Source organism: Homo sapiens, chromosome 7, assembly GCF_000001405.40.
Source record: "Homo sapiens chromosome 7, GRCh38.p14 Primary Assembly".
Lineage (NCBI taxonomy): Eukaryota > Metazoa > Chordata > Mammalia > Primates > Hominidae > Homo > Homo sapiens.
Window position 1 is genome coordinate 89,093,304 of NC_000007.14, and position 25,936 is coordinate 89,119,239.

General features: G+C 35.0%; 1 protein-coding gene across 1 annotated transcript in view, besides 2 other annotated features; it reads left to right on the top strand.

Annotated features, from left to right (window-relative positions):
- ZNF804B (zinc finger protein 804B) overlaps window positions 1–25,936 on the top strand; it is a 578,829-nt gene that overhangs the window by 333,604 nt on the left and 219,289 nt on the right. The gene's annotated exons all lie outside the window — the stretch shown is intronic.
- Window positions 2,604–2,766: a silencer, noted in NCBI's record as "fragment chr7:88725221-88725383 (GRCh37/hg19 assembly coordinates)". NCBI's record gives its function as "represses an EF-1alpha promoter that drives an FKBP-Casp9 reporter gene in an ReSE screen in K562 erythroleukemia cells {active_cell/tissue: K562}" and the evidence as "EXISTENCE:reporter gene assay evidence [ECO:0000049][PMID:32094911]".
- Window positions 10,187–10,879: an enhancer, noted in NCBI's record as "OCT4-NANOG hESC enhancer chr7:88732804-88733496 (GRCh37/hg19 assembly coordinates)". NCBI's record gives its function as "activates a minimal SCP1, AML or CMV promoter by ChIP-STARR-seq in naive H9 embryonic stem cells {active_cell/tissue: H9 hESC(naive)}" and the evidence as "EXISTENCE:reporter gene assay evidence [ECO:0000049][PMID:30033119]".

Below are 25,936 nucleotides of genomic sequence, written 5' to 3' on the forward strand. Positions count from 1 at the left end.
TTGATGAAACTTCCATTTCCAAAGTTATTTAGGTAACTTTTCCCTTTTCCTCTACCCTTTTCAGTGAGGTTGTTTCATAATTCCTCATACAGTGAGATTCTTTTGTCAAATTCAGCATTCCATGCTGGGATCCCCCCAAAACTTCTAAAGGAGTTTTAAAAAATTTGTATACATCAAGGTTCACTCTTTGTGTTTTAAAGTTCTAGGTATATCAACAAATGTAAAGTTTCATGAATTGACCACTATGGTGTCAGACAGAATAGTTCTGTTACCCTAAAAATGTTCTATGTGTATGTGTGCACACACACATTGCCCTGTTTGTACGATTATCTTAAAGACTAACATTGGTAAACTCGACTCTGTCTTTGGCCAAGAAAACGTTCAATCTGCAGACTTCTATGCATTGAAGTCCATGTGTCTGAAGGAACTGCCAAATTATTTTGCAGGTTTCCTTGGGGAGGACCCCCTTCAACAGGTATAGAAAGGTCCAATTATCCAAGGTTGGTCATTTACTAGTTCAGATACTGAAACATATTTTAGCTCAGGCATTCAAGCAAATGACCACAATTTACCTGGAAGTGAGTTAGAACTTTGAGAAACCACTCAAATTGTTGTGGGATAGCTCCCTTCACTACTGATTGGCAGCTTACCCTGAGTTCACAGGGCTCAGAAGCCCACCAGGATAGGTGACCTACTGTTAGCTAGTTAAATGTCTTTAGGCAATAATTCCATATACAAATAGAAAGATTTTAGTCAAAGACCTTACAAACACTTTATACTATTGTCAAACATTTGGGAGGACAGAAAAATGAAGATGCGGCTAATATTTATTGCAAGCTATTGAATTGTAGATATCATTCTAGGCCATTTAGGTCACATGTTCATTCTAAAAGTTCTAAAAATCTCAAGTAACAAAGATTTTACTTTGTTGAACCAATGTCACGATGCCTGTATAAATCATTATCTCCCTTCTTCTGAATCAGTACTGTGACTTTGTTTTCAAATGTTTATTTAACCTCTGTATGTGTGTGTGTATATATACATTTACTTTCTTTAAAATATGCCATATCAGGAACTCTTTCCAGTTGTCTTTTTGAGGTTTCCTAAATGCTGAGAAAGTCTACCTTTCTTACGCCTACTAAACATTGAATTGTCTGCTCTTTCCTGTTTGAGTCATATGAAATTGCCTCCACTGCTGTCCATAAAACAAATATTGGAGAAGATATGGGTACACTCACTTTTTTAAAAAAAAATCCTGGAATTTTAATACGTTAGTCGCTGAGATGCAGTAGTTTTCCTACCCTGATTGATGGAAACTCTTCTCCTTTGCTACAGTGTGTTTCTGATGAAAACCAAAGAGTTGTTTATACATTTTTTTTTCAGTTTGTAGACTTTTTCAAAACAAAAATGATGATTAATTTTCAGTTAAATTCTTTATTTTGCTTATGCAAGTATTGATAAACCTATTCACATTAAAAAGTCATTACATATGGAAATAGACCTAAAAAGAATAGTTGCCTTACCGTGTCAGGATTTGATTCAATTAAAACTGATTGAGTAACTTTGGAGGGGAACAGCAGAAAATCATATTTGTTTTAAAGTTGAGTCCCTAGCAATATCTATCATGGTCTTCATTTATTTTCAATAAATACGAAAGTTAAAATGTAAGTATTACCCCCAAGAATATGAACATGAAAACTCTTATAATGTGCTCTTCTTGTGATACAATGTTTTTGCTATGGTTTGAATGTTTTTGTTGCCTCCAAAATTCATGTTGAAACTTCATCCCCAATGAAATAGTAGTAGGAAGTGTGGCTTTTGGGAGGTGATAGAAGCATGAGCCCTCCACCTTCATTAATGAGACTAAATGCCCTTATAAAGGGATTTGATGGAGAGGCTTTGTCTTTTTTGCCCATTCCACCGTGTGAGGACACAGCATTTCTTCCCTCTGGAGGATGCGGTCACAAAATGCCATCTTGGAAGCAGAGAGCAGCCCTTGCCAGACACACAACCTGCCAGTGACTTGACCTTAGACTTCCCAGCCTCTAGAACTGTGAGAAATAAACATTTATTTTTTTGTAAATTACCCAGTCTGTGGTAATCAGTTGTAGTACACAAACTAAGACAGTGTTGTATTTTATGTAACTGTGCAAGAGACAATTATAACAAAATGAGAGCATACATTGATAAGATACATCTGAACCTTGTCTGGCATTTGGATTAGTGATTATGTAGTCATGCACAAGTCTAAAACATAACACAGGTCAGTGTAAATCATCAGTATGTTTAATAATAAATTTGTGAAGGTATACATATATGCAATGGGAACACAGGAAAAACTCTGTTACTAGTTTAGCGTAAAACTAAATTATCAGATAATTGCAAAAATTAACAAATGAGAATCCCAACAAGTCAAAATTTGGTATAAAATATTTGCATTTACATTTGTTTCCTGTTAAGTTTTTAAACTCTTTAAAAATAGATACAAAAATATTTTTAGTTAAACCTTTGCCACTCCCCTAGAACTTCTCTATAGAACTCATCAACAGTGCATCTCTATAGAACTGAGTTTGAAAATCAACTCACGCCTGTAATCCCAGCCCTTTGGCAGGCCAAGGCAGGCGGATCACGAGGTCAGGAGATCGAGACCATCTTGGCTAACATGGTGAAACCCCGTCTCTACTAAAAATATAAAAAAAAAATTAGCCGGGCATGGTGGCGGGTGCCTGTAGTCCCAGCTACTCGGGAGGCTGAGGCAGGAGAATGGCGTGAACCCAGGAGGCGGAGCTTGCAGTGAGTGGAGATCACGCCACTGCACTCCAGCCTGGGTGACAGAGCCAGACTCCATTTAAAAAAAAAAAAAAAAAAGAAAATCAGTACCTCAGCAGATGAGAAATGGATCAATCTATGGTGTGACTAGACAAGTTAATGTTAAAACTGAACACTGTGATGATGCATGGCAGCTCTGACAATACAAGTAGGATCAGAATGTAAGTGTGGAAATTCAGTGTCACTAGGGAAGAATGGGCTGAGAGAAAGTTTAATAGGTAGAGAATAATCATAAAGGAAAGAGTTGCCCCAGGACTGGAGGGGAACCAGGTGGAAGAGTTGATCCCGAGACTGATGTGACTGATGATTCTTATCAAATGCTCCTCTTTGCTGGCCTTGCTTAGAGCCTTCTTTGGTTGTTTTTAGTGGTTGCTTTCGACTCAAAAGTGATCTGTTTATTGTAGTGTGAGAGATCATATATTTGCAGTCATTGCTGTCCACGTTATTACTTGGATAGATGTTTTTCCCAGTTCCTGATTTTACGATAATCCAGTTCAAAGTGATATGCATGATATTTCAAAAACAGATGTCATAATCTTTTCTTTGTTTTTTAAATCATTAGATTGTCTAACTCATTGATATTTTTGAACATGGGCTTTCTGTTGCACTCCTCATCGAAGTAATTTTCATTATGTGTTGTTTTTTCTAAGTTTATTTATTTTTATTGCAAGTGGCCAAATGATAGGCCCTTTCTAGGGAACTATGTCTACACAAAATAAAATAAGGTTAAAATTATGCAATGAAACTGGCACTTCGGTGAGCTGTAAACCTTCTCTGTAGACATTGTCCTTAGATCATCCTCACACCTGTAATGTTGAATTATTCCCTCCCTAGGTTTCATTCCTAGCATTTCTGATCCTTAATCTCTGCTTATCCAGAAAGTCATTTTCAGTTCCAGGGCTAACTTCCTGAAATCCTCACAGATTGATTCAGGCTAAATCCTGTATTCAGGTTCATGTTGAATCCCCAACGAAAATTAATGGGATACGTGCAGCTGCATCTCTGGACAGACCACACCTCATCTTGCTTTCTGCAATCCCCGTCCCTCACTTGCCTAAAGTGCTTTGAGAACTGTTGTGACTACTTCAGAATGAACTATGTTTCTGTGACTCTTTCTTGCTGGCTCATTTCACAGGAAGCCCGAATTTACTTGTACATGGCTCACAGATCAATTTCTGCAGTGTGGATGTTTGTAATATACATAAATGTGTTGGATGAAGGCATTGAAATAAAATTTTTGAGTCTGCAAATTAAGCTGGAATTGAAATCAGAGAAAATAATGAAAGGCAATGAAAACTGATTCAAGGAGAAGTTTTGAGTAAGAGTGCCAACAGGCACCAAATCATTTTAAATGAAGGCAAATATTAAATAATTTAAGAGCGAAGAACCAAGCTGGAGACTATTTCTTAAATAGAATAATGAATCAGCAGTTCAATCATTATATGGTTTGAAAGTTATTATGGAAAAATCACTAAAGCTATCAACTCAAATAAAACCTAACAAGAAATTAATAGAAATATAATAATAGTGTGTATTTTGAAAGTGATGAAATACCTATCAAAACATTAAAAAATTATAATACAGGACTCTGATTATGTTACTGTAGAAATATTCTCATTTGCTTAAATTTGTGAGAGGGTTTCTTGAGTTGGAAAGCCCACAAAGATGCAAACTCTGATTTATTTTATAATGAATCTTCTTTCTGCAAATTCATTTCATTTTCCTACAAATGCATCACCTGCTTTTTTCTATAAGCTGCTTGTCTTAGTACAATTATCTACTTTGATAAGGTTGTGCTTATTATGTCATATTGCTTAGCTGTCATTTACCTAGCAGGTAAAATACATATTCAGAAGCTATATAATAACATAATAATGTTTAGCACATTCTTATCGTGCACTAGCTTGGATACAGACCTAAGCACTTTACATATAATTTATAAAATTTCTTTAAGGTAGGAACAATTAACATTTTCTTTTATTGATGGGGAGACTAGGAAGTTAAGTAAGCTGTGTAAGGCTCTACACAATTAGAAAAAGAGCCTGGATTCAAACCCTGGCAGTTTTTGCTTCAGAATCCATGTTCTTAATCACCATGTTATCCTTACAAATTCAGTGCAAGGCAAAAAGCATCATCATAATTTTTTTTTTTTTTTTTGAGATAGAGTCTTGCTCTTTTGCCCAGGCTGGAGTGCAGTGGTATGATCTTGACTCACTGCAACCTCTGCCTCCCGGGGTTCAAGCAATTCTCCTACCTCAGTCTCCTGAGTATCTTGGATTGCAGGTGCGTGCCACCACACCCAGCTAATTTTTGTATTTTTAGTAGAGATGGGGTTTCACCAACGTTGGTCAGGCTGGTCTGAAACTCCTGACCTCGTGATCCTCCCACTTCAGCCTCCCAAAGTGCTGGGATTGCAGGCGTGAGCCATTGCGTCCGGCCCATAACAACTTTTTTTAATGAAGAAACTGAGATGAGGAGTAGCTAAAAACAAAGAAACAAACAAAAAACAATGCTAAGGTTATAGAGTTCTTAAATAACTTTGGATTCAAATTTCATTCTAACTTTAAACTCTGTGCTGCTCCTACATGACATTTGCCTCATCTTATCTAAAACTTGTCATTCCTTATTTCTTTTTAAATGGGGATGAAGGAGATGAATTAATGACTCTGAACTGTAAACTGCCAAAATAAATAAGTTAATATGCATTTATTTGTTTATAAGCTCAAGTACCTGCCTAAACTTCACTAAATTTTGTATTTTTATACCTGGTCATAAGATGAAAATTTCTTACTGAAAAGTAGGTTGTGTTGTTTTAACAAGCAAACTGAAATGAAATCTTGAATGAAAACTATAATTCAACAGTGCAGTACAATTATATACGTTTGAATATTTATATTATATATATTATATATTATATATATATTATATATGTACCTATTTGAATAACATATATTCACACACACACACACACATACACACACACCTTAAAGGTGGCATGGGAATGGAATGTTTAAGAAAAATAAAAAGGCTAATTTTGGCTGTGATGATTTCATCCTTGAGGACACCTCCAGAAGGTGAGATTACAGAGCTAAAACCTGTGGAACTTCCAACTCACTACTATATCATAACTTGAAATCTAGAGCTCTTTCTTTGAAAGGATGATCTAAGGACAGCTATATACAAATATATAATAAAAGGGGAAGAAAAAATAATGTAAAGCAAAAATTATTTTCCCAAAAATGTTACAATAGAAGTCCACATGTTTCACAGTTTGGGTACATGGTTTAAAATCCACCTGCTCACTGGGAAGCAGCAGCCACTAAGAAATAGATGCACCTCTAGGGGCTGGGAAAAGGTCCAGTTCAGTGAAAGGAATATGATGTTCTAATGTGACAAACAAGAGGAGTTCGCAGTTCAGGTAGACGGTGGGCTTCATGGATATCAAACCACCATAATGGAAATGTTGCAATTGATAGGCATGGTGATCAAGAGTTCAAAAGTCATGTCCACAATTTGGGGGTTTTTAGAGCTCTACATAGGGAAATTTCTCAGTAACGGTTGTGTTGGGGTTTTGAGGTAAGCCATCATCCCATCTAGGTGAACTTGTAAGAATAAGGCAAACTTTAGTTCTAGAAGTATTAGGTAACTCATAAAGACAAAGGTCAGGCTTAGAGATGAGATGTAATACAGAAGCAGCTCAGGACAATACTGGGTGACAGTGAGGACTGGACTGAACTAACAACAAGAGTGACTTCATGTTGATACCCAGACTGGTACCATCCTTGATCTTGGAGAGGCTTCAATCTTTTAGGTATTGGGTCATATGGCTCATCTGAAAGAAGAGGTAAATCTCTAAGGCTAGAACCTAGGTAGAGGTTAACAAGGTGTATTTCAGAAACCTCAGATTAATTAAATGAGTGTTTCAAACACATGTATTTTATTGACAGTTTTTCCCTTGGGAAAAATGACAAGAAACCATATTTTTTAGACTAATGGAACAGAATAGAGAACCCAGAAGTAAATCCATACATCTACAGTGAACTCATTTTCTACCAAAGTGCCAAGAACAGACATTGGGGAAAAGGCAGTCTCTTCAATAAATAGTGCTGGGAAAACTGGATATCCATATGCAGAAGAATGAAACTAGACCCATATCACTTACCATTTATAAAAATCAAATCAAAATGTATTGAAGACTTAAATCGAAGCCATCCAACTATGAAACTACTACAATAAATCATTGGAGAACTTCTCCAGGACATTGATCTGGGCAAAGATTTCTTGAGTACTACCCCAAAAACACAGGCAGCCAAAGCAAAAATGAACAAATTGGATTACATCAAGTTAAAAGCCTTCTGTGCAGCAAAGGAAACAATCAACAAAGTGAAGAGACAACCTATAGAATGGGAGAAAATATTTGCAAACTATCTCTCTGACAAAAGATTGATTACAATAATATATAAGGTGTTCAAACTACTCAATAGGAAAAAATCTAATAATCTGATTAAATATGGGTAAAAGACCTAAATAGACATTTTTTAAAAGAAGACACACAAATGGCAAACACATTCACAATATAAATGTGGTTCATATTGTCACCCATAAAGAGATATGAATATGTTCTATTTTAATCATTTTTCTTCAAACTTAAATTCATTAATGGAATATTCCATTGTATGCCTGTAACAAATTATCTCACATACTACATAAATACATATACCCACTATGTACTCAAAAATATTAAATAATTAAAAGAAACCATAATATAAAAATGAAGTTTCAAGGTTATATGTGTGTGTGTGTCTGTGTGTATGTGTATATACACAGGTATGTATATATTTAACCTCTGTTCCATTGGAAAACCAAATGTAATTCATACCAAACCACCCACAAAAAGAAATGATACATTCTATTGTCATCATTTTTCTTCAAACTGAAATTCATTAATGTAATTCAAAAAGCAATGCAATTTCAAAAGAAATCATTTAATGTAGCAGTTTTAGTGCACACAGTCTGATTCAAGAGCATTTCATTTACTCATGGGCACTATGGCAAAACTCCATAATCTGTATTCATTATATAAAACAGTTCCTCCGGCAGGCATGTTTAGCTTTGAGCTATTTTCATGGTGTGCATATCACCAATTTGGCGAGGTTGGCATTCAAACAGAAGTATCAGAAGTGAATATTTTGTATACTTATCAGATATATTCATTTATGACAATATTTCTATTTTTATAAAACTCTCAAAGTGATATTCTCTATTTGATATACAGTGTAGTTTTAATGATGAACATAAACGGCTACTCCTGTTTAAAATATAAAATTGGATCTACTTATGGTAATAAAATATATTAATTATTTCTCACTTTTAAGACTATAAAGAAGTCTAACTCACATTTATAAAAGGTGTGAAAAATTCAATTTCTCACAACCTAAAAAGCATACAAAATTTTACTAGTTTTATTACGTAAAATCAGGAATAATTGATTATAAGTAACTGATGTAAAGGTAATGTAAAAACTACCTTTCTTTTCACACTTAATTTATATATGATATTACAAATTTATTTATGTATTCATTTATTTGTTTTAGATTCGGGGATACAAGTGCTTGTTTATACATGGATATTACATGCTTAATGGTAGGGATTGGGCTTTTAGTGTACACATTATTTAAGTGTTGGATATTATACCCAATAGGTAATTTTTTAATCCTCATCCCCCTTCCTTTTTCCCTCCTTTTAGAGTCTCCAGAGTCTATTCCTTCCATCTTTATCTACATGTGTGCCCTTTGTTTAGCTCCCACTTATAAGTGAGAACATGCAATATTTGATTTTCTGCTTCTGTGTTAGTTCACTTAGGATAATGGCCTCCAGCTCCATTCATTTATAGCTGTGTAGTATTCCATGGTATATATACACCACATTTTTTTAATCCAATCAACCATTGGGGACACAGGTTGATTCCATGACTTTGCTATTGTAAATGGTGCTGTGATAAACATGTGAATGCAGGTGTCGGTTTTACATGATTTCCTTTCCTTTGGGTAGATATTCAGTAGAAGGATGGCTGGATAGAATAGTAGTTCTATTGCTAGTTCTTTGAGATATTTCCAAACTGTTTTTTCCATAGAGGTTGAATTAATTTGCATTCCCACCAACAGTATGTGAGCATTCCTTTTTCTTCATATCTGTGCCAATGTTTGTTTTTCTGTTTTGTTTTGTTTTGTTTACTTTTTAATAAAAACCATTATGAGTGGTATAAAATGATATCTCAGTATAGATGTTGCATTTCTCTGGTTAGTAATGTTGAGCGTTTTTTCATGTGTTTGTTGGTCGCTTGTGTTTCTTCTTTTGAGAAATACCCGTTCATGTCCTTTGCTCAGTTTTGAATGGGGTTGTTTGTTGCATCTTGAGTTGTTTTGGGTTCTTTGTAGATTGTGCATATTAGTCCTTTGTCAGAGGTATAATTTGTAAACAGGTTCTCCCATTCTGTAGGTTGTCTGTTTATTCTGCTGGTTACTTCATTTGCTATGCAGAAGCTTTTTAGTTTAAATTTTATTTGTCTATTTTTGGTTTAGTTAGATTTGCTTTTGGAGTCTTTGTCATAAATTATTTGCTTAGGCCAATGTCTAGACAATATTTTCCTAGGTTTTCTTCTAATATTTTTATAGTTTCAGGTCCTACATTTAGGTGTTTAATCCATCTTGAATTAATTTTTGTATATGGTGGGTGAGAGATAGGTGTCCAGCTTCATTCTTCTGCATATGGCTAGCCAGTTTTCACAGAACCATTTATTGAATAGGATGTCCTTTCCCAATTGTTTATTTTTGTTGACATTATCAAAGATCAGTTGGTTATAGACAGTGGTTTTATTTCTGGGTTCTCTATTCTATTCCATTGACCTATGTGTCTGTTTTTTTTTTTTTTTTTTTTTTTTTTTTTTTTTTTACCAATACTGTGGTGTTTGGTTATAATAAACTTGTAGTATAATTTGAAATCAGGCAATGCAATGTCTCCAGAATTGTTCTTTTAACTTAGGAATGCTTTGGTTATTCAGGCTTTTTTTTTTTCCTGGTTCTTTTTTTTCTGCTATGAACTTGAAAATTGTTTTTTCAAATTCTGAGAAAAATGATGTTGGTAATTTGTCAGAAATTATATTGAATCTAGAGGTTGCTTTGGGTAATGTGGTTATTTTAATGATATTGATTCTTCCAATCAATGAACATTGGGTATTTTTCCATTTATTTGTGTCATTCATAATTTATTTCATCAGTGATTTGTAGTTCTTCTTGTAGAGATATTCCATTTCCTTGGTTAAATGTATTTCTAGGTATTTTGTGTGTGTGCATGTGTGTGTGTGTCTACTGTAAAAGGGATCAAGTTCTTGATTTGGTTTTCACCTTGAATGCTATTGGTGTACAGAAGTGCTACTGATTTTTGTTTGCTGATTTTGTATCTTGAGACTTTCTGTATCTTGAGGTCTGTGAGTCTTCTAAAGAGGTCTTTAGGGTTTTCTAGGTATATAATTATGTTATTAGTGAATAGAGAACTTTGACTTCCTCTTTACAATTTGGATTCCTTTTATTTCTTTCTCCTGCCTGATTGCTCTGGCTAGGACTTCCATTATTATGTTAAATAGGAGTGGTGAGAGCAAACATAATTGTCTTGTTCTAATTCTTAGAGGAAATGCTTTCAACTGTTCCTCATTCAGTATGACATTGGTTATGGGTTTGAAATATATGGCTGTTACTATTTTGAGGTGTTTTATGTACAGCTAGTTTGTTGAGGGTTTTTAATCATGAAGGCATGTTTAATCTTATTAAATGCTTTTTCTGCATCTAATTGAGATAACCATATGGTTTTTGTTCTCAGCATTGTTTATATAGTGGACAATGTTAATTGATTTGCATTTGCTGAACCATCCTTGCATCCCTGGAATAAAGACCTCTTTATCATGCTGAATTGTCTTTTTGATGTACTGTTGGATTCAGTTTGCTAGTATTTTGTGGAAGATTTTTGCATCTATGTTCATCAGGGTTATTGGCCTGTAGTTGTCTTTTTTTGTTGTTGTGTCCTTGCCTGATTTTACTATTAGGGTTATACTGGATTCATAGAATGAGTTAGGAAAGGATCTCTCCTCTTCAATTTCTTAGAAATAGTTTGAGTAAGATTGGCACCAGCTCTTCTTCATACACCTGGTAAAATTCAGCTGTGAATCTATCTGGTCCTGGGCATTTTTTGTTGGGAGATTTTTCTACTACTGATTCAATGTTCTTCTTCATTATTGGTTTGTTCAGGGTTTCTATTAATATTTCCACCTGGTTCAATTTTGGGAGTTTGTGTGTTTCCAGAAATTTATCCATTTTCCCTAAGTTTTCTAGTTTGTGTGAATAGAGATGTTCATAGTAGTCTCTGATGATGTTTCATATTTCTTTGGTATCAGTTGTCATGTCACCTTATTTTTCTGTTGGGACAAGTCCCATGACTCTCTCCTTTTTTTCCCTCTTATTTTCACCTCTATCAATGTTTTCTTTATTTACCTTATTTTTAAATAACCTTTAAATTTTTTCCACCTTCTTGGGATGAGTCCTTTGATTCTCTGCTCTATCCTTCACTCTTCTCTTGTTAATTAGCCTAATGTTTTTATTAATATTTGTAAGATCTGTGAGGTGACTCTGAGGCCATAAATTTGACAATGCTTCTGGAACTGCTACTTGATTCTGCAGGAATCAAATACTTATCTGTGATTGTTCAGTAGTGAGCTGTTTGTCCTGAGTCAACGCAAACATGTTCTTCTACTGTGCAGCATAAAAAACTAAAGACACTGCTGCCAAATTAGTTACTCACAACCCATTTTAGTAAAGGTTTCTCAGGAAGCTGATGATACCAATCTAAAGAATGGAACAATTCGCTTAAACTATACCTTCTGATTTCAATGGTTACTTGGTTTTGCCCTTCTCCTACATTTACTACCTTCTTAGTAACCACAGGTCTCAGAGGTAGTTTCTGTTGTCTCTGTATAATTCTGCCCTTCAGGGGTTGTCTCTGAGTCTAGCTCAGAAAGACTCATATCTGAGCATGGTCCAGTCTTAAGGCTTGACCCAGCACTCTCTTTTAATTTCATTGTAACTGTTATAGATAACAATAACCAAGGAATTAAACATTTCACTTTTTTATTAGTTTGCATTTCCTCATGCATCCAATGAACGGACTCCTTGGGAGTCAGATTTATCTCTAAATTCCATGGATAGCTTTTAACTTTAGTAACTGAACTAAAGCACAGTTGTTGTTTCATACCATGGGTGACCACATGGCCACCCAGGAATTTGAGGTTTTTTATTCCCTACCCTTATATGCATTCTTTCCCCAGCCCATATGTTTCCTTGACCGTGGGCCAGTCCAGCAAATCCAACTTCACTGACACCAACTGGGTAGGGGAAAACTATCTCAACCCATGTTTGCCTCCACTCTCACACAACTATAACCATCATCAACACAGAAGACTTATGTAACCAAAGGTACGGGGCTTTCGTCTCACACAGCAAGCAACACACACGTGTTGGGTGTTCCCCAATTCAGTTTTGTCAGTATTTACCTGGAAATAGTTTCTGATCTCACAGGTCCCCAAGGATACCTCTGACATTCCCAGATACCAGTAGCAAGCCCAGCCAGACCTCTGAAACTTCTAACCAACCAGCTTCATGTTGGGGTTCCCATGACCCCTTTGTTAGGTTCAATTAATTTGATGTAGTGGTTCACAGAACTCAGGGAAACACTTATATTTGCTGTTTCATTACAAAGGATATTACAAAACATACAGATGAAGAGATGCATAGGGTGTGGTCTGCAAGAAGAGTCATGGAGCTTCCATGCTTCCTCAGGTACAACACCCTCTAGGGACACCCATGTGTTCAGCTCTCTGGAAGATCCATACATTTATTTAAAAGCACTTACAAATAAAATATAAGTTCCAAATGGCAGAGATGGTGTCAGTACTATTCCCTGTTTTACACCTAGTGTGTGGCATGGAGCCCAGCATCTATGGGTACTCAAGAAAAACTTGTAAGATGTATGAATTCAAAGAAAATTTCAAAGATTTGTGATATATCACTTACTGTTACATGTTTTTGTTTTCTCAGTCAACATGTGCTAAAAGCATAGCCATTATCCTGAGCTGGTCTGTGAAACTTTACATATTTAAAGGAGTTTTTTATACTTTAAAAGATTGGGCACCAGTGTTTATACTACAGAATTAGTAATGACTTCTAGTATTATGTGCTAGATCCTCTGTGTTTTAAACTGGGTGATATAGTAATGAATGCTTTTGGAAACTAGCCCGAGATTGATGGCTTGTGTAGAGAGAAATTGGAGAGTTAGATGAGAAAAATGGATCCATATTGATCTATTACACTTCTGAATGAAGAATTGATAATACTATTACAATCTAATGAAAAGAAATACAATTAGAAGAAGCCATTCTTTAAGAAAGTCCCTTACTTCCACCAAAAGGAACTAGAAGGTAGGAAGACAACATAGAAAAATCCTGTAGCAATGTAGGCCTAAGGTTTAAAACAGACTGGATTGGGAGGATGGCTAGAGAAATCTGTGAATAAAGAGATAGGTAAGTGATATGTTTTAGAATACAAAAACAAGACCAAGCTAATATGGAGGAAGAACTGGAGTGGCAGAACAGAGAATATCCCATGTTTTCAAGTAGGAGATACATTATATCTTTGAATAAACTGAGGACAGCATGTTGTTGGAGGGAGTAAGATGATGAATTTGGTTTTGGAGCTGTAAGGATTTGACAGCTATGTGACTCACAGAAATATTTAACAGGAGTTGTAAATACAGTACTGAAACTCAGATAAAGAACATCTATGGAGATGTTATTACAGTTGTTAAAGGCACAGTTATTAAAGGGAAAATGAAGTGAAGAAAATGAATGAATTCTTCAAGAACATATTCCAATTGGAAATTGCCCTGGTAGTTTTACATATTAGTTAATAAGTAAACCACTTTTTATTTATAATGTATTCATAAAGTTTTAGATTATAATAGTGGAGTAGTTTATTATTCTTTTGATATTTAGAATAACTTTTTGATATCATGCATGATGATAGTTATTTTAATGTGTGTGATTTGAGAATATAGTGATGAATTATAAATTTAATGATCCTTTTACATGAATTTATGTAATCACTGCTGCTAGATACATTAGTAATAGTTTCCATATGTTTGAGATATCTATAATGGAGTGGATTGTAAAATATAAATTGATGAGTATTTTCCAGCTTTCCTATTTCAGCCACCAACACTCCTTTCTTAGCAAATCTATGGGGATACTCTTAGTGCCTTAGGAATTATCCGTAGCTGAGAATAATAACTTCACATCTTTTTAGGATTCTAAGTCTAAAAGACAGAAATTATAAACTCATTAGCGGATACATGTGAACAGGAAAAACCAGCATTTCTCTTCCTGTCAAACAAGATATTTGACCCTTCAACTGGAGAGAATCAGTGTATGTGCATTCTTTTCCTTTACCCGATGAATCTGGGTGGCTTGAAAAGAATGATAATTTCCTTGAAAGTGTTTATAGAACAATGGAGTTGTATCCTATGTCTCAGACATAATCCATACAAAAAGAACAAGCTTAGAGAGCCACAGACAATTTCCAAAACTTCACCGCTATTACTAAGCGGCATGGGGGGTATTCTCTGAATTTCCTTTGGGTTCTATGCAGGCTGGGGAATTGAGAGAAACAGTGGGTCCTTCCCGGAAGGTCGCCTGACTACAAAGAAGAGATGAGCATTAAAAAGTTGTACTGTGGGCCATAAGCCTGAAGCTAAAGAAGGAAATGTCTCAATCTCCTAAGACTGTCACAGCCAGGAAGTCAAAGGGGGCTGAACCACAGAGGGAAGAGAAAGCAATCATGAAACATCTGAACCGATTGGTAATAGAATGCAGTTTTACTGTATGAAAAACAGGACATGTAGGCAAAAACAACTTAAGATTAGAACAGTTTGATGATTTTCCTCCTTTTAACCTCTTTGTGGGCATTAGTTATGAAGTTATATAATTAGCTGCTTTTTTTTTTTTCTTTTCTTCCACCTGCTAGGGAGTGATGATAGGTGGCTTTTATCTCGACAGAAAGTACACGGAGGGAAGAACATAGGCTTGGAGGCTGATTCTTCTGGGTATTCTCTGCTACAGAGAGAGGAAGAAGTTGTGGAGTCACTGGCTTCTAATGAAAGACAGATCATGACTGGCCATCTACATACATGAGGAGGGAAGGAAAAGTATCTTACTTTTTATATTATAGAATAGTTTTCAGACCTTAGCTCAAAAGAGCCTCACTTTTAGAAACTTTTTATTATTCTAGAATGATTTCACTCTCTTTGAACAATCTCACAGGTCATCTCTGGAAAAGTGATCTTATTTGGAAATACAGTAGCAATGCAACACGTTTAATGGTCTCTCTGACATGACAAAAGGCAAAGGAAACTGATCCTATTGGATGTGGCAAGATCTAGGTCAATGGTGACCTTTTAGAGAAACATTTCTGTAGAAGGCCTGGCAGGAGACAAATTGCAAGGGAACAAAGAAGAAATAAGTGTGAAAAGTAGAGAAGAAATGACTGAAGATCAAGAAGAGTGCTCACAAAAAAATAAGTGGTAAGCAAAAGGGCAAGAGTTAGAAAGGTTAACCTATATAAAATTCAGGCTAAAAAGGAGAAATACATTGCTTGAAAACACCAGAGGAAGAAAAGAAAATTAGTTCCTGAATTTCTGTTGCATTTAAACTGCATATATATTTAATAAGTTCAGGCTTTCATGCAGAGCTGTGTCATTAGTATTGGAGGGGAAAAAAGTCCAACTAATAGTTATAATCTATTAATAGGGATGAAGTAAATCATGTTTGGGTATAATTAGTAAGAGAACATCAATAAAGGAGAAAAATTTTTTAAATCTAATAGACCTAGAATAAATCACGCATTACTTGTAATTACCAGGAAAATACTTGGATCATGGCAAATGATTTGACAACATGGTTCTGTTTAATTTACCAACCTATTTTAAATGGAAACATAATGCTTGCAATGTATTTTACTGTCTATTCGTTACACAAGCACATTGAGATAATAATGAGAATACCATGAGATAGTAAAGAACTACTTGTTCTCTTGAAGAGTTATGAGAATAGCCAAAATGTTCAAACTTCACATTAAATTTTATATCATGATGTTAATTTATTTTAAATTTACTCTGTCATTCCAATGAGAATGGCTTTCTCTGCCAAGGTTTCTGCAAGCTGTCAATTGTCCCAATGCTGGCTGTTGATCTCCTAGGCAGATTTGGGCCATAACACAGCCCTTTGCACCCAGTTACTAGGAATAATTGAAATTCATCAGTTTTCCACATTTTGATTTCATTTTCTTGGTAACTTCTCTTTCACAGACTCTCATTCCCACATTTTTGCATTACTGCTGAAGTCTGGAAATTAGTCTTCATCACATTGTTCTTTCATTCCCTCTTTACTCAAATGCCTAATTAATCTTCTTTAAGCATAGCTTAAATCATTCTACTCTCTTTTTCAAAAATCAGTAGCACCTCTGACCTTCTATTTTGTTAGCCTTTAGTTGAATTTTTATTTTGCTCTTTTCTGGGAGATGAAATATTTTATTTTGTCACTCTACTCCTAAAGTGAGTTTATATGTCTTACTAGTGCATAATTCATCTCACCTGATACACTTTTAACTTATTTATATGTTGAAAGTAAATGCATTATATAACTATTTGGGCCAAACTCTGTTTTAGGTCCCAGTAATATGAAGGTGGATATGCAGTTGAGGGAAAAAAAAGACAAAAATACACAGCATTTGCCTTTGAAGAGACCACCAGTTTGTTATGGCAGCAGATGATAAAACCAGTGATTCCAAAATAGAATTGAGAAAAAAACGAGAGTACAGACAGGAAAGGATAATGTTTCAGAAAATTTTCAGTGGTAGGTGGGGTGCTAGGTAAAGGTGAGTCACCAGGAGGTGTACCAGGTGTGTTGTATAGCACAACAAAACTGCCATACAATATAGTATATTCAGAAAACTAATTACAGTAGTTCAATAATACTAATTCATGAGAAACCAGATAGGTTATCTAGTGAGCTGATGAGAGGTCCTCACAGAGTTTAAACAGGGAAGTACCATGGTAAAATTTGCAATTTAAAAACATCATTTTGGAAGCAATGTGGTAGATGGGTTTGAGTTGAATGAACCAAAGTCAAGTTAACTAGGTAGAGAGCTATCACAGCAATGTGGAAAAGGAATAATGTGGTTCTGGACAAAGGGAGTGTCAGCATGAACAGAGTTAAGGAGACAGATATAAGTGACAGCTCAAAGACTTTAAAAACAAATATACTTTATATTTCATAGTAATTTTAGGTTTACAGAAAAGTTGAACAGAAAGTATAGAGGGTTCTATATGCTTTCTTAAATGCTGCCTGAGTTTCTCCTATTATTAACATCTTGAATTAATGTGGTATATTTGTTACAATTAATGAACCAAAATTGATACATTATTAACTACAGTCAATAGTTTACATCGGGTTTCAGTCTTTGTATTATTCAATTTTATGGAATGTAGAGAAACAAAAATGCACAATATAATATGTGAACCATTACAGTTACAGTATTGTACAGAATAGTTTTCCTGCCCTAAATATCTACTATTTTTTTTCATTCATCTCTCCTCTCCTCCCACCACCACCCTAAATCTCAGGCAACCACTGATCTTTTTACTGTTTCTATAGTTTTTCTTTTTCAAGGTTGTCATATAGTGGGAATCATATAATATACAGCTTTTACAGATGGCCTTCTTTCACTTCGTAATATGATTCTAAGTTTCCTCCATGTCTTTTTATGGCTCGGTAGCTCATTTCTTGTCATTTTTAAATAATATTCTGTTGGCTGGATACACCACAGTTTATCTCCAACCATTGAAGAATATCTTGGTTGCTTCCAAGTTTTGACAATTATGAATAAAGCTGCTATAAACATTTGTGTGAAGGTTTTTGTATGGACATAAAAGTATTTTTAAACTCACCTGGACAAAGATCAAAGAATGAATGCTGAATCATTTGCTAAGGGTTTTATTTCACTTTGTAAGAAACTGTCAAACTGTCTTCCAAAGTGGCTGGTATGAATTTGCATTCCCTTCAGCAATGACTGAGAGTTCTTGTAGCTCCACAACCTCTCCAGCATTTCGTGTCAGTGTTCTGGATTCTAGCCATTCTAGTAGGTGTGTAGTATTGCCTTGTTGTTTTAATTTGTAGCTCTGTAATGACAGATAACGTTGAGTATCTTTTCTTATGCTTATTTGCCACATGAATGTCTTTAGTGAGTTGTCTGTTGAGAGTTTTTCACACTTTTTAGTTGTATTTTTATTGTTGCATTTTAAGAATTGTTTGTATGGCTTAGATAAAAGTCTTATCACATATGTGTTTTGCAAATATTTTCTCTCAGTCTGTAGCTTATCTTTCCTTAATTTTAAGTTTCTTTCTCAGAGTAGAAGTTTTTCATTTTAATAAAAATCAACTTATTAATTTTTTCTTTCACGGATTGTCCTTTTAGTGTTGCATCTAAAAACTGATTGCCAACACAAAAATGTGAATATATTTAATGCTATAAAATTGTATTCTTAAAATAGTTAAAATAGGGCTAGGTGCACTTTGGGAGATCAAGGTGGGCAGATCACTTGAAGTCAGGAGTTTGACACCAGTCTGGCCAATATGGTGAGACTCCATCTCTACCAAAAACTAGAGAAATTAGGCAGAGTGGTGGGGCGTGCCTGTAGTCCCACAGCTGTTTGGGAGGCTGAGGCCGGAGAATCGCTTGAACCTGGGAGACCTAGGTTGCAGTGAGCTTAGATCATGCCACTGCGCTCCAGCCTAGGTGACAGAGTGGGACTCTATCTCAAAAAAAAAAAAAAAAAAGTTAAAATGGCAACACTTTTATGTCATATACATTTTACAATGGACAGACTACACAAAAACTCATTGCCAAACTGAAGATCACATAGATTTTCTCCTAAGCTATCTTATAAAACTTTAATAGTCTTAGATATGACATCTAGGTCTATGATTTATTTTGAGATAATTTTTGTGAAAGGCATAAAGGTCAGTGGCTAGGTTCATTTTCTTGCATGTGGATGCCCAATTATTCCTCTACCATTTGTTGAAAAGGCTGTCTTTTCCCCACTGAATATCCTTTGCTCCTTTGTCAAAAATAAGTGGACCTTATTTATTTGAGTCTATTTCTGGGCTCTCTATTTTGTTCAATTGATCTATTTGTCTGTTCTTTTGCCATTACCACATTGTCTTGATTACTGTACCTTTATAGTAAGTCTTGAAATTGGTTTTTGTCAGTCTTCCAACTTTCTTCTTTTTATGTAATTTTGTGTTTGCTATTTTGGGATTTTTGCCTTTTCATACAAGCTCTAGAATCAGTTTGTCAATAAACACAAAGTAATTTGCTGGGATTTTGATTGGAATTGTGTTAAATCTATAGATCAAGTTGGGAAGAATTGACATCTTAATAATATTGAGGCTGCATAGTGCTTATTTTAAGTAAAGAGTGAAGAGAGAGGAATTAGGGATTACTTCTATACCTCAAATTAGGACAACTAGGTGCGTCTTGACCCTCAGTTGGGTATAAACGGAGGTACAGATTTTGAAGTGATGATGATAAATTAGATGTTAGATATTTAGAATTTGAATTGCCAAAGGGCAACCAGATAGATATAATCACCATGCAATTGAATAATCAGATATGGAATACAGGGGCCTGGCCTGGATATAAAGATTTAAAAATCTTCAACATACATATAATTTATTGCTTATGGAGAAAATAGATGTGGGGGAGAATATGTGAGAAGATGTTAGGAAATATAAAAATGTTCAGTGTGAATATAGAAGAAGTTGCCCTGGAAGGAACTATAGTGAAAATGTCAGAGGTGAAATAAAATAAAACAATCCACAGCAGATGAGGTTGTTTTGGAAGCCACATGAGAAAATGATTCCAAAAGGAACTTGTCAGTATGCCAAATTAACATAGCATGAAGATAGTTTGTTCACTATATCTGTGTGATGGGATCATCGTACAACGGGCCTCAATGGCATGCAATTTACCCATGTAATAAACCTGCACATGTAATAAACCTGAACCTAAAATAAAAGTCATAAAAGAAGAAAAAAATAGCATAAAGAGTGAAAGCGCAAGGGGAAACCAAATTTCATGGACATGAAATAATGGAGACACAAGTATGAATAACTCTTATAAAACAAATGCTTAACTTGAGAGAAGGATCAATATAATTAAAGGAGGATGATAAAAGGACTAGGGAGGGTATTTTGTAATCATCTCACGCTCATTTTCATCATTACCATCATTGCCATCAGTCTCATTATTTAGCTGGGACAAATTGGTGTATATTTATATATTGAGGGCAAATAACTAGTTCAAAATTGAAAGGTAAAAAACAGGCCAGGCGCTGTGGCTCATACCTGTAATCCCAGCACTTTGGGAGGCCAAGGCGGGCAGATCATGAGGTCAGGAGATTGAGACCATCCTGGCCAACATAGTGAAACCTCGTCTCTACTAAAAATACAAAAATTAGCCGGACATGGTGGCATGCCTGTAATCCTAGCTATTCAGGAGGCTGAGGCACGAGAATCGCTTGAACCAAGGAGGCAGAGGTTGTAGTCAGCCGAGATCGTGCCACTGCACTCCAGCCATAAAAAAAAAAAAGGGAACACATTTTCCCAAAGTAATTAAAAGGAATTTCCTTCCAGGGATAGGTGCAAGAATTAAGCTTAAACTGGACAAGACACTTTTCTCTCAAGCAATTAATAAGTAAACAGAAGTGGTTGAAGAATGAGAACAAGCTTGATGTTTAAACCTTAGCCAAAAAATAAAGAAAAAAATATAAATTATTAGTATCTAATAATCACTTGGATACTAATCATTTGATTATTGGACACTAGTAAAAGTTAATTAAAAGTAAATTAACTAATAAATGTTAATCAAAATATTTCTCCTCTCAACCTGAATAAATGTTCAAGAAAATATTTAACTTACTTCCAATATGTTTTACTTCAAAATTTAGCTTTGGCATATTGGATATAAAGTGTGGAAATTTTCAACTCCTTCTCCCTAAAATCATGCAAAATATGCAAATGAAATTGAGCCATGGTTCAATGAAGCAATTCACCAGGCTCTTTGTCATTACTGAGAATAATGACAATGCAGAGATGTCAGACATTGCAGCACATTTGAATCTCCCAGTATACTTTGTACAAATCTCACATAGATGGATGAATAAGACATGAAGTTTAGATATGGGTTTGCTCCTTGAATGATATCTGGTGCCACTAGTTTCAATCTTTCTTATTGATGCTCTTTTTGCATTGCTCTTTGTCAGTCAGGATTCACTCATAGAGAATTTAATGCAGGTAATTGATTACACAGATGTGAAAAGGCCTGAAAAAACAGAATAGAGGAAAAAGAAACATTCCAGATTTTAACTGCATAATCATTCTTAAGGCTGAGGGAAGAATAGTAGGCTATGGGGTCACCAGTGCTTAGAATCATGGAGGGTTGAGCCAGTGCTGAAACCAGGAAAGGTAAATTCATGAAGGTGTTGGGAACTTCGAGAGGGTCTGAGCACTGATGGTAGGCTAAGATAAATGTTCTGTGTTGTAGCTACTAGAACTGCAAAAAACAAAAACAAAAACTATTAAACATTTAGCTTTACACGTTTATAGAGACCATAACCAAGTATTTTTTTTCTGTCTTCCTGCTTTCCTTTTTCCTATGAGTTCCTCTAATGGAAGAAACTTAACTAGAAGTCAGCTGGCCAAGGAATGTGGAAAACATAGTTAACAGGGCCCTAACTCCCTTAAAATGCATAATAGAACATAGAGGGATAGAAGAGGGAATCAAGGTCAAGCACATTTATGATTGGCAAAATGAACTCTCCACCTGGAGCATTGTTTGACAAGATTCCCGAATGAAAGAGGGTTTTAAATGAAAATAACCATTACCTCTGTCATCCACTCAACAGTATATTTGAATTCAAGACATTCCAAACATGGGCCAGAAGACCTAATTTTTAATGAGAGCTTTACTCTTAACAGGAAAATAAGGAAAACATCTACAACAAGTGTATACTCAGGAGGATTCACAGAGACTGTATTTTGAACTGGCTCATTGTTTGGTGTCCTGAAGGTTTTCCCACCCCAGGGAGATGCATCCTATTAAGACAACACATAGATGAGATTACAGCAGTATTGGGTACAGTAGGAGACAGGGTCATACAGTGGAGAAGAGTAAGACATCTTGAGCCCAGATGTATTTTTAGGCACATACATTTAGGAAAGATAATGGATGGAAGTTGATGATCTAAAAATTGGTTTCTATAAAAATACCACAATCCTGTACCTCTTGGAAAGTCTTATGAACTTCTCTATGTATACTTCACCTTGAAAACTGCTCTTATAGATGATTAAGAAATTGTGTATATTTAAATAATAATAAAGCTCTAAAAGGTTGTGCAATGAACTTTAGTATGAAATGATAGTTCTTTGTAGTTTTTAGCCTATTGCAAACATATTCAATTTCTGAAGGGAGAATCAAGATTTTGCCTCTTTAAAGTCAAGTCAACATTATTACTGAGCATTAATTAATCACGTATTTAAAGGTCAACAGGTTTTTTTGTTTTTTTTTTTCTTTTTTTTGACAAGAGTCTCACTCCAGTTGCCCAGACTGGAGCAGTGGCGTGATCTTGGCTTACTGCAGCTTCGACCTCCCGGGCTCAGATGATTCTCCCACCTCAGCCTCCTGAGTAGCTGGGACTACAGGCACATGCCACCATGCCCAGTTATTATTTTTTTTTTTTGTATTTTTAGTAAAAACAGTGTTTCGCCATGTTCCCCAAGCTGGTCTTGAACTCCTGGATTCAGGCGATCCACCCACCTAGGCCTCCCAGAGTCCTGGGATTACAGGCATGAGCCACCGTGCCAAGCCACGGTTTTTGTTTTTTTAATTGAAACAGAAAGTAAAGACCGTGATTCTTGAATAAGGTATTTGTGATGTCTATGGTTCAAAATGTTTATGATTTAAGACAGGTATGGCTATTAAAACACATATTACTCCTTAAAAACTTAGAAAATACAAGGTTGTTCAATTATAATAGTATTCTGCATTTCCTGCTCCAAATAAAAAGACTTTGAAAGAGTGGGTCTCCATTTCTATATTTGTCCCTTAGAACCTCAGACAGCGTGTTTTGAGTCTTCATGAACCCTGTGAGAAAGTAACTAACCTACAACTATTTCTTGCATAGCTTTGAAATATAATAAATCAATTGGACCTAAAATCCATTTTAAAGGTTCAAATATTAAGCTTTAGTTATAAAATTATAAAGCCTTTCTCAACAAATAGTCTGGTTTGTAGTGTAGAGACTCCATTTTCATAAAGATTAGTGATATATACCCATAGTCTTTACTTCTAATTTATTTACCAGCGTATTTCCTTATCTGTCCTTCCTCTAGCAACTACATTTCGGCATAATTATTGAGAGATATTTTTTACACGAATTTTAAATTACCTAGATTCCACTAGAGTGCTATATAGTAAGTTGAATAATGGCACCAGAGATATAAAGCCTATTGTCCAGAACATGTAAATATTACTTTATGTGGCAAATATATTGCAGATATGATTAAGAATTTTGAGACTGAGATGTTATCCTGATTATCTGAGTGGCCTTAAATGCAATCACATGTATATTTATAAGAGGGCGGAAGAGGCAGCTTTGACCACACAGAGAAGGCAACAGGAGAAAATAGAACTGAGAGAGGTTTGAAGATACGAACCTTGAAAATTGGATGATGTGCCAGATGATAAACCAAAGAATTCTAGTAGCCATTACAAGCTGGAAGAGGCAAAGGACACATTCTCCACTAGAGCTTCTAAAAGGAGTGTGGTCCCTTTGATAAGTCAATTTTGGCCAAGTGATACTGTTTTAGACTTCTGGCCTCCAGAAATATGACAGAATAAATTTTTGTTGTTTTAAGCCACCAAGTTTTGGTAATCTGTTACAGCAGTCATAGGAATCTAATATAGGTACCATGCATCATGTATACAGAAAACTATAGTAGCAACTGGGTTAAGTTAAGCCAATATAATTCTCATATGTCTCTTCCAAATTCAGTATTAACCAATAAGAAAATTTTCCTTCTAAGTTTCTATTATTCTTATAAAAACCTGCATTCTGTGTTGCTATGCTTACTTACCATAATTGATTAACTCTCTGGTTGTACTTTTGAAAGACTATATCCAATCACTAATCAAAAAGCAGCCATTACTCAGTATGATACCCAGTTGGATGAGTTCAAGTAATTTGCTCAATGGGGAGAAATCTCAAACGGTTTAAATTGTGATGCCTTTTTAGCCATAATGTTGATGCTATATTGACTAAATTGTAATTATATTATACTTGTGCTATTTTTGGCAGTGAGAAAATTTTTTATTCAAATTATCATACTCATTACATATGTAACTATTGAAAAATAAGTTTTGAAGGCTTGTAATCATGTTGCTTTATTTCATAGCTGGCATATAAATGTAAAACCACACTTTGAAACTTTAAAACTATTCCAGAAAAGTTTTTACATTTTGAGTTTGGTAACATTTTGTTAAGATTGATCGTGAATACTTAGTCTTTTTTTCAACTACTGTTAAAAAATGATGGAAAATGTATCATTTGTTAGCAGACTTTTGAAAGTCCTGTAGGCTTGACATACAAAAGCATGAATTATTTTGTATCTGTAAGAAGGTTTCTACATTTGAGAGCAGCAAAGCACAATCAAGGAACAGCTAATCTTAGACCAGAAAGAAACTGGATGAACCTTCTTTCACATCCTGAAAACTAACTGACTTTTTTTGAAGATCAAACTTTTTGAATACCAACTTATGCTAAACTCATAATCTTACAATTGTTTTACGACATAATTATTCATATTCCCATTTTAAAGTTAAAATAACTAAGTCTCAGAGTAGTTAAATATCGCCTCCTTGGAGTACTAAGTCGGAATTAGGTAACCAGGTCTGCCTATGTCTTTTCTGTCTCCATGCAGCACTATCTTAAGTAATATAGCCACTTTATCAATTAGTGAGATAATCTCCATAGTTTCTAGGCACTTTAACTTTATTTACACATAAGAAATTAAATTTTGAATACCAACACCTCTTTCAAAATCCATCTTCTTTTAGAAATGACAGGGAAAATGTCATTCAACAGACAGTAAAACAGTGCCCAGTGTAGATTAAATAAAAACAAAATGTTCTGTTCTGAGTTTTGCAATGTGGTATAATGAGTTTTTCACAAGAAAAAAAAATGGCCGTAATAAGAAGTGCCCCCGGCTCTCATACTTTTAATGTTATTAAATTAAGTTCCTTTGACCTTACCTTGAAAATTCCATTCCAAAGCACACTAACAAGCTATTTGTTACTTTTTAATTATTTCAATTGTTATCTGAAATGTGAGCAAGGTTAAAAATTTTTTGTGGGAAAGTATTAAAACTTCGAGTTCTCATTAAGAACTGCAAAATTTGTCCTTTCAGTCTTCTGACCAACATTCTCCATTCATTACTGTAGAGTTTCCCTCTGAAAGAGGACTACAGAGATAAGATGAGGTCAGTGATAATGGCGATGATGATGGTGATGATGATGACAAATCTGACATTAAAGAAAGTTCAACTGTGGCGAATTCTATTGTGCATTTCCAGTCACCTCTAGGTCAAAGTCAGATTTTTTTCATCATATATACTTTTTTGATCTTATAAGCCAATTGTATCAGTTAATTCATCATCATTAGACTGAGTTTAATGAAAGAGTAAGGGTATAACATTTTGAGTGCTTATTATGTTTTAAGCACTGGGCTAGCCCCTTGACCTACCTGACCTCAAATGGCCACTGTCATCTTTAGTATCATTAATGGTGGTTTTCTGCCCTTGCTGCATGTCAGGCTTATCAAGGGACATTAAAAATTA